Raw genomic sequence first — 10,486 nt, 5'->3', positions numbered from 1 at the left:
AACGATATTGATGTTATTGGAATCCTAAGTGGGTATTAATAAAAGGGGTACTCATTAAAACAAAGAAAAGAGAAGCAAGAATGAAAAAGAGTAAGAAAAGGATCCTAAAAGTAAAAATTGAAGACAAAATAGGACTTTTAGGGAGCATTTTTATATCCTCAATTTTCCAAATTTCAACATGTTTTTTTCCACTCATGATGGGTCATGGGGAAAAAGGAGAAAGAGAAAATACTCTTCATTTTATAATTTAAAAGTCAAAAGAAGAATATTAATTTTTTTTGAAGGGAAGGCCATAACCAATTTCATTTTTCAGACCTACATGACAATCATACTATTGGGAGATCCAAGTTATAAACCAACTATTCATTTCATAATTTTTGTTGTGAAATACATCATGTGTGTATTTGTAGGAGGATGTTTCACAGTTTGTTTCATCTTTTAAATTTCCCCTAAGCCCTTTTGTCTCATTAGGTTTTACTTTCACTAAACACTTTAGCCACATTTTTATGCATGTTTTCTCAGGTTACCTTTATTCTTTTTTAAAAATTATATATTTGTAATTTTTCAAACTCAAATTTTTAATTTATCCTCATATTTAAATGAAATTAGTTTTCCTATAGTTTTAGGAATGTAGGTGTGGCTCAAGATACTTCTCTAGCTTCTGGGTTATAGGACTTCTATGATGCGCTATGATTAAGTATTAAAAATATAATCTTTCTTCTAGCCACTTCTTCAGTACTTTCTGTTTTGTCACCCTGTAGTATCTGGACCAGTTCTGTCCTTTACTTCAAGAACACCTGTCCAGAATAATTCATATTCTATTCCTGTCGGTTTCTCATCAGTGTGGGGCATGGTCTTCTCACTGAAAAGTTTGGAAATCTCTGAGTGTCTTGGTTTTCCCAGCTACCTTAGGATTTGCCTCAGTCACTTGCACTCATTGGCAAATTGCCAACAGCAATGTCCCATCCTAGTTATGACTGTGATTCTCAGATGAGCCTCCTGAGTCCTCCTGTTTCAGTGGGGACATCTACCTTGGGATGAGAACTTCTTGGAGGATTCTGTGAGCAAGTACTTACATGTCAAAAGATAAGGAAAAAAGGTCATGATTGTCTAACAGGGTTCATGAATCCCCAAATAAATTATCTTACAAAAATATCATACTTGCTTTTCTATGTTTTAACTACTGGTAAAAATGAAACAAATAATTCACACTAGAATAAAATCTGTAAGCTGGTATAGCAAGCTAAGACAATTACTTTTACATATAAAGCAAGTCCTTCAAATAAATATTTTACACACAAATTTAGGTTTTCAAAAAAATAGGTTAAGTATTTACCTTATTTTTGTTTGTCCACTAAGAGACCTCATTTCTCAAACTGACATTAAAATGGACTGCAGCTCACACCCTACAAAGAGTAAAATGCATGTCACAAGCTGGATACACACATGTGCATATTACATACATGATAAATGGCTAACAGTGCTGTGCATACAACTTCCACGAGTAGTTTTACCCTGTAAAAATACTGTAGCCTATCTTGAATCAAATTGCAATGAAATAAACAAAAGATAATACTTGCCTACTACAGACATTTGCTCACGCATTTTAAAAAATGCAAAAATTATAATGGGATAAAAGTCAACACTGCTTGCAAATACCTGAACATGGAGAGCACAGCCAACACATTCATGTGGACAGCAAATGAGTGGTTGCATATTACACATCTTCTATCTGGGTTGTTCCTCTTGTTTAATTCTAAAGATTTACATGGGCTTGGATCCTTTATGATGATTATTTAAATAATATTACATTAAGTTTTCCTGGTCTAATAACCAACTTTAAGAAGTACAGTGGAAGGGTATAGGAATTTCTATGTCTTCTCATACTTTTGAAGCCAATTTTATTTTTATTATGATGTGAAACTTTAGTTACCAGCATGCTAAAAATAAAATTGACTGAATTACACGATTTTGTCCACAACATTGAAGTCTCTTTTTGCTAAAATATTACAAAATGAATCCAGTAAACACTTTCCATTTCCAATGGCCCAAGTGAGAGATTAATTCAACTTTTTTAAAAAAATGAATTACAACTAAATTGGGCTGAGGACAGCTAGGTTAAATCCTGCAATCCAAACCCAAGCACCCGAACATCTAAAACTGTAACACTTTCCATCCAGGATAGAAAAATGAGCATCCAAAGTAAAGACAACCACAAGATTGATCAAGTAACCAATCAAAAATCACGTCTCTATTATTTGAACTAAGAGTTACTGTAGCTTTACGTTTCTGCCTTCATTATTATTGGTGGTTCCTAGAGTCACAGCTTCAATGTCAAATGTGACAGTGGACTCAGAAGTAATTGCATGTAACTGATGAGGCATTTCTTTTCCATTTACAAAAATGCACCATTTGTACCAATGCATACAGCTTTATCCCGGCTTTGTTGTTATTGCTGTTGAGATGGAGTCTCGCTCTGTCTCCCAGGCCGGACTGCAGTGGCGCGATCTCCGCTCACTGCAAGCTCCGCCTCCCGGGTTCGCGCCATTCTCCTGCCTCAGCCTCCCGAGTAGCTGGGACTGCAGGCGCCCGCCACCACGCCTGGCTAATTTTTTGTATTTTTAGTAGAGATGGGGTTTCACCGTCTTTGCGAGGATGGTCTGGATCTCCTGACCTCGTGATCCACCCGCCTCGGCCTCCCAAAGTGCTGAGATTACAGGCGTGAGCCACCGTGCCCGGCCGACATTCCGTTTTTATGGCACACTCCTATACAGTCTCTTCTGTCTGGTAGTTCCACAGTTTCAACTCTAAATATTAATGTCTGCCCAGAAAGATAAGTTGGAGCTCTGGAGTTGAGAACACCTGAAGATTTAGAATCGTTCCGGCATGACGTATTTCTTCCATTGCTCACACTGCTCCTCTCAAAACCAGCTGTCCACTCATGAGGCTCCGATATGGAATGAACTAATTGGGGGACACTCCAAGGACTCTGCTCCTGTCAGCCATCTCTTCGGGTGCAGATTCTGAAATGATCTTCAACGTTGGAGTCTATGTGCAATACTCTGAATTCAGTTTCGGAACCTACATATACATCCTCAAAACGATTTGAAGTACATTTACGAAACTGGAGCCTGTCATCTTGTGCCGTAAAGTCATCATCCACCTTACACCATTGTACTATGATGCCTCCAGGTTTCTCTATCAGTTCTTCTATCTGTACTGGTGGGCGAGATGCTACTGTTCCATGCTTAAGAATGTGGTCTTTCATGATGTTAAGAATACACTCATCCAACTGAGCAGATAAACAAGGCACATCAACCAGTAAAGGTACTTCTGGTATGCTGTCCAACTGAACATGCAAGGCCTTTTTGGTAAAGCTCCACAGTTTCTCATTCTCTTCTACACCACCAAGCATGGCAATCTCATCTTCTTGGACTAAGCCCTCTGGAGTGTTAACTCTGTGTTCTATGAGCTTCTGGCAATCATCTAGTGGTTTAATGGTCTGTTTAATGGTGCCAACCTCTTGCAAAAGGGTCACCAATCGCTCATCCAGGAGCTTCCCATGGGTTCCCTTTAAATCATGAAAATGTTGTTTGAGAACATCGCTTGTCTGTGATGCACTCTCTTTGATCTCTATGCCTCCCACAGCCCCTCAAGCTGGTGACCCAGCTCCCACCAGTAGTTCTGTACCACCTCCACGTTCTCAAGGGCCTCCTACAGCAGCAGCTCAGGCTCCAGCTCCATCGCCTGCCTCATGCAGCTGCTAGAGCAGGTTCCCGACTGTTGAGTCTGGGGTTTTCTGATGGGAAGATATTTATCTTCTGATGTAAGTATACTAATGACTGTAGGATTATGCATATTTCCTGTTTTTTGCTGAACTTGTATTTTTATTTTTTTGTTTGTTTTTACTTTATATTTTTCTAGGAATATTTCCATTTTATCTAATTTTTCAAATTTATTGGCATAAAGTTATTGATAGTATTTATTTAATATCTTCCAAATCTCTAGTTGTTGTTTCTTTTTCACTCCTCATTATATTGATTCTTTGCATACTGGTTTCTACATATGTGCCTCATGTATAGATTTCCTCTATTCCACAGTCACCTCATAAGCAAGCCATACACAGTTTTCATTTTTGCAGTTTGCCAAATGTTCAAAATCATAGTGCCAAGTAGGAAATGCTCTATTCCTACATTATTGACTCAAGTAAGGATTAAGAAGAAAAAATTATGTTTAGGCCTTTGACATCCTGCAGATTCTTGACCTTCAACATCCCAAATACTAAGAGGGCAATGAATGCCAATGTGAATGATCTTCACTCACCCTGACTAACTTACCTTGCTTGGGAGCATTTTTGAATGGCTATGGCTTTGTTCAACAAGTTATTCTGTCTCAGTTGTTTTAATCAAAGCCAAGATGGACATTTGTAAGGGAAGAATGATTCATTTGTTTTTAAATGAATCTACCCGCTCCGTTCCAAATACAATTTAATGAGTCTGTTGAAAGTGTTAGTGGATTTGAAATTATTGAGATGTGGCAATTTGAGAGCATATCTAGATATTTTGCTTTAATTCTTATGGAAGTAATTCACTATGGGTTTTGCTTACCTGGAACCTAATCTCAGTGTATAATAATTACCTTATACAATCATATTTCTTAGAAGGGAACCCTGAAAATAAACACTGCATTGTGAGAATTATAGGATTCATTAGTAAAAACTTCCTACTTATCAATTTGCAGGAAATGTAAGTTGATTTACTTTTTCATTACCTGTGAGATGTTTTTTATACTCCTGACTCATCTTTGTTCTTTCCTTTGTACAAGCAATGAAGTTGTAAGTCCTGTGAAGTAATAGCCTGCAAATTATAATGCTTCATTGCATAAGCAAGTAACAGAAAATGAATTATGAAGAACAAAGTCCCTGTTACACAAGCTTCAATAATCCTTAATTCTGAACGGAAAAATAGCCAATCATTTGTATAAGGTCCCATGAACAAAGCAGGATAATATGCATTTGGATTGTCATTGACTACATTTTCATTTTAGTAAAAAAAAAAAAAAAAAAAAAAGAACTATCTCAGAGATTGTATAGAAAGTCAGCTTCTAAATAAATACACAAAGTGCATTCATACTTCTTTTTTAATCTCTAGTAAAAGTTGGTCTTCATACTACAATGAACTGGTGAAAATAAGTAAGGTTTCTGTGTGCATGGGAAGTAATAAAGTTTTCTAAGGGAAAAGTTGAAAAATTATACACAGATCATTTAAATATTTTATATATTTTACTGGCCTTTTAATCAAGAAGATTATAAGTGTTAATTACATACGAGATGTGATATATTTGTAAAAGTTACCTGAAATAACACCATAGGTTCACTGTCAGGTAGTTCTGAGGTCAAAAACAAAAAGGTAAGAGACAGATGGTTTATACTTCTGTTGCCTATATGAATTTGCTCATTTTAATATCTATATGTTAAAAATTGAGCTGATATACATTCTTCCAGGTACAGAGAATTAAATATACTAAAAATCCCTAGTGTCCATAACTTCTTAGAGAAATGGTGATTCTAGGTCTGGGGCAGGACAGATATAAATGAGATAGGGTGTCTAGTTGCGCCCTCAAACAGAGAAAGTAATGAATATTGAGATCATGTAAACAAAAAAATACATCAACCTACTTGAAAGGGCTTCTAATGGCCAAAGATAGAAGACACTCATTGGTCACCTATCATTTTTTTTTAAATAGTAAGTAATTTCAATGCTTAATTAAGTATTTATTATGCCTTTTCTGTAGAATATTTGCTGCAAGGTAAACAAATAGTTGGTAGGGGAAATTTTTAAATTTAAGTGTGAGCCAATAAATGCAAAAGGAATGATAGAATTAGAAATTCACCATTTTGCTATTCTTAATGCATAAGTCTAGGTAGTGATAATCCACATATCCTAAAACCATTAGAGAAATTCTTGTTTGAAAATTTGTAAGGGATGGATCTGCTAGGTGGATACTTGATGGATCCTGAATCAATGAACTAATCTTATCACTAAGCACGGGCCATTCATTTTTACATTCCCTCTTGCATAATGCCATAGACAGTGTATAGCACCACCAATGGTCATACACAAACACACACACACATACTGTAAATGAACAGGAATCTAACTAAGTCCCAAGACACAAATAATAGCTGACAGGCAATATAAGGTACATAGAAATAAGAGGAATGACATCACAAGAAAGTAATCAGCCAAATAGATATTTGAAATTCTGACTGAAAACAAGTACATTTTCTTCAACAAGTAAACAGAAAATGGTCAGGGATGGAGGAAAACTACCATCAGTTAAAGGACACTTAAGAGTCTGTGAATGCTGGGCATGGTAGTGGCGTATGCCTGCAATCCCAGCTATTCAGGTGGCTGAGGATTGCTTGAGCCCAGCAGTTCAAGACCAGCCTGAGTAACATAGCCAGACCCTCTCTCCACAACAACAACAATAACAAAAGAGGTCATGATGTGTAGATTTGCTTCGATCTCATACAAACATGCTGCAGGTATTTTTTGTAGATAATCCAAGAAACTTGAATATCAACTAGATATTATATCAGGGATTATTGATCATTTAGTTATATGTGATAATGATTTTGTGATTGTATTATCTTTAATTCCTTATCTGTAAATAAATACATAAGTATTTGTGGTTAAATAATATGTTTTCTGGGTTATGCCTTATGAAATATTCCAGCAATAATTTTTTAAAGAATGAGACCACAAATATAAACTTATATTGAATAAAATATTTATTATAAAAACACATGGCTAGTTGTTGCATAGATATTCACTATACAATTGACTCTTGAACAACACAAGTGTTAGGGGTGCTGACCTTTCCCACAGTCAAAAATTCCTATATAACATTTGACTTCTAACAACATACCTACAAATAGCTACTATTGACGGGAAACCTTACCAATAATGCAAACATATGATTCACACATATTTTGTATATTATATGTATTATATACTATATTCTATATTCTTGCAATAAAGTAAGCTAGAGAAAAGAAAATGTTATTAAGAAAATACTAAAGAAGAGAAAATATATTTATTATTCATTAAGTAGAAATGGATCATCATAAAAGTCTTCACCCTCTTCATCTTCATGTTGAGTAGGCTGAGGAAGAGGAAGAAGAGGGGGAATTCATCTTCTGTCTCAGGGTGGGAGAGGTGGAAGAGGTGGAGAACGTACAAGGGGAGGCAGGCACACTTGGTGTAATTTTAAGGAAATGCATTGTAATTTCTGTCTTTTTTGCCTTTTCATTTCTCTAAAAGTGTTTCTATGTGGTGCTCATCCTTCCACCATTTGTTTTAGGTTCAGTACCCATATCATAGAAGACTTCATGTCATGAAACAAGTCAAAAGCCATCTTGAATAATCAGAACTTTCCTGCCAGATTGGCTGATATCAATTTGTTTCCTGGCACTGCTTCTTCTTGTCATCTTCTTCCTCATCATCTGGCACTGGTTCCAGAGCACTCACCTTCATCAAGTCATCTTCTGTTAATTCCTCTGGTTTGGTGTCCATTAACTTTTCAATCTCTCCAAGATCCATACCTTGAAACCCTTTATCCCCCACCATATCCATAATCTCCTTCATGATTTCCTCAACTGGCTCTGTCGTAAATGCTGTGAAGTCATGTACAACATCTGGACACAGTTTTCTCTAGCAGAAATTTACTGTTTTGAGTTTGATGGCTTTTACAGCATTTTCTATAACAATGATGATATCTTCAATGGTGTAATCCTTCCAGACTTTCATGATGTTCTATCGAGGTTCTCTTTATAGTGTTGATAATATTTTCCATAGAGTACAGTGTGTAATGAGTCTTAAAGATACTGTGGCCCTGTGATCTATAAGATAAATTAGAGACATTGCATTTGGGGACACAGAAACCACTTCAGTGCCTTCAGTGTTGAACTCATGGGGATCTGGTGGCTATGGGCATTATTCTATACGAAGAGAAATTTAAAGGCAGTCTTTTACTGGCAAACTACTTCTTGACCTTAGGGATAAATATCCATGAAACCAGTCCAGAAAAAAAGGATTCTCTTGTCCAGGCCTTCTTGCTGTACCACCAAAAGACTGGCAGCTGTTGTTTACCTTTTGTCTTCCAGGCTCAGGTGTTAGCAGCTTTATAGACAAGGGGCAGTCCTGATCATAAACCTGACTGTATTTGTACACAGTAGCACAGTTAGTCTGTCTTTCCCTGACTTAAATCCTGGTGCTCACATCTCTTTTTTACTAATAAGTGTTCTTTGTGGCATTTTGTTTTTCCAGAATAGGGCACTGTCTTCTGCATTAGAAACCTGTTCAGGCAGATATCCTTTCATCTCAATGATTTTCTCAACAGCATCTGGGAACTCCTCTGCTGTCTCTTGTTTAGCAGATGCTACTTCTGCTGTTATCTTGACATTTTTAAGCCAAATGTCTTTCTAAAATTATCAAACCATCTTTTGCTGCCATTAGTTTCTCCAGTTTTAGGTCCTTGACCTTTCTTTTGCTTTATGTTGTTATGTAATGACTTCACTTTTTCTTGAATCATACAGGTGTGCCTTTGTTATAGCAATTATGCACCCACATAAAAGTTGCATTTTCTACATGAGATAAAAAGGTATTCCTCAAAAAGTGCAGGGGTTTTGTGCCTGCTGCCGTAGGTACAACAACTGCTTCAACATTTCCTTTTCTAACAATGGTCCTTAGACTGGACTCCTTGATCTTGAAATGGCGGGCAACCACAGTTGCAGACCTCAATCTATGGTACATATAAAGCAATTCAACCTTTTTGTGTAGTGACATGACATCTCCGTTTCTTAGGAGCACTTCCAGCATCACTAGCAGTGCTTTGTATGGGTCCCATGATTTTATTTAAGGTTTACAGTATTGCATTAAATATGATGAAATATATGTGAGAACAACAATATCACTTTTTTACTGTGACACACAATTTACTGGAGAGCTGAACTGCTCACACGGAGATAATTAGCATTGCATGTTACTTGCAGCACTTGAGCTCACTGTAATAGCAACAGGAGGTGGCTATGAAATTATTACAGTAGTACAGCATGCACTACATTTAATTTTAAGCAGTTATGATTTAATATTGCATTTTTACCCTTATTTACATTTATCTAGACAGCAAATGGCACTATGTAGGGTCTATAAGTGTGTAAGTGTGATAAATTTTAACTTTTATGAGAGATTTGTGCATATTTATGGTAGTAAATGATAAAACAGATTAGTATCTCCATATATTTTATGCATTCATAATATACTGAAGGCTTTCTTAATTTTTAAAATATTTATAGGCCACTTGTTTCATCTGCAAATTTTTTTCAAATTCTTGTAAATCTTCAATTTTTTTTCTAATATATTTGTTGGAAAAAATCTGCATAAGTGGACCTGAGCAGTTCACACTCATGTTGTTCAAGGGTCAACTGTATTTTTATCACTACTTTCATGTAATTTTTGAAATATCTACTGTATGAGTTTCTTCTCACATTGCTATAACAAACTATCTGAAACTGGGTAATTTAAAAACAAAAGAGGTTTAATTGACTTACAGTTCCACAGGCTGTACAGGAAGCATGGCTGGGGAGAGCTCAGGAAACTTACAATCATGATGGAAGGTGAAGAAGAATGAGGCATGTCTTACATGGCCTGAGAAAGAGGAAGAGAGGAAAGTGGGAAGTGCTACACTCTTAAACAACCAGATCTCGTGAGAATTCACTCACTATCACAAGAACAGCAAGGGGTAAATCCACCACCATGATCCTATCACCTCCCAACAGTCCCCTCCTCCAACACTGGCGATCACAATTTGACATAAGATTTGGGCAGGGGCACAAATCCACAAAATAAGTCAAAAAACAATCATACTCAGGAATTACTTAGGAATAGAATATCAGTTGTAAAAGTATAGGAATATGTTACTTTCCCATTGCTGTAAAGCAAAATTCCTCCAAAATTTAGTGGCTTAAAACAACACATGTTTATAATCTACAATAGAAATCTATTTCTGAGATCAGGAATATTGGAGTGCCTCAGTTGGGTAGTGCTGGTGCAGGGTCTCATGAGGTTATAGTCAAAATGTTTGTCAGGGCTACAGTTTGCTGAAGACACAACTGAAGTGGCAGGATCCAATCCTGGTTTTCTTACATTACTGCTGCCTGAAGACCACATCCTTCACTTTCCTCAGTTCCTTCCACTGTAGATGTCTTCACAGAGCTGCTTACTGATCTTCCACAGCCAGCAGTCCCAGGGATATCAAGGCAGAGGCTGTGATGCCCTTTATCACCTAGTTTCAGATAGAACACACCATAACTTCTGTCACGTTCTCCTGGTGAGAGAGACCAACTGTGATACAATGTGGGAGAGGACTACACAAAGTCTGAATCACAGAAGTCAAGGATGGTTAGGGCAATTCTAAAACCTGG

General features: G+C 36.6%; 1 pseudogene; it reads right to left on the bottom strand.

Annotated features, from left to right (window-relative positions):
• CRLF3P1 (CRLF3 pseudogene 1) lies at positions 1,630-3,782 on the bottom strand (annotated as a pseudogene).

This window comes from Homo sapiens, chromosome 2, assembly GCF_000001405.40.
Source record: "Homo sapiens chromosome 2, GRCh38.p14 Primary Assembly".
NCBI classification, from domain to species: domain Eukaryota; kingdom Metazoa; phylum Chordata; class Mammalia; order Primates; family Hominidae; genus Homo; species Homo sapiens.
Note: the sequence above shows the minus strand (reverse complement) of the source record. Positions and strands in the feature narration are given on the sequence as shown.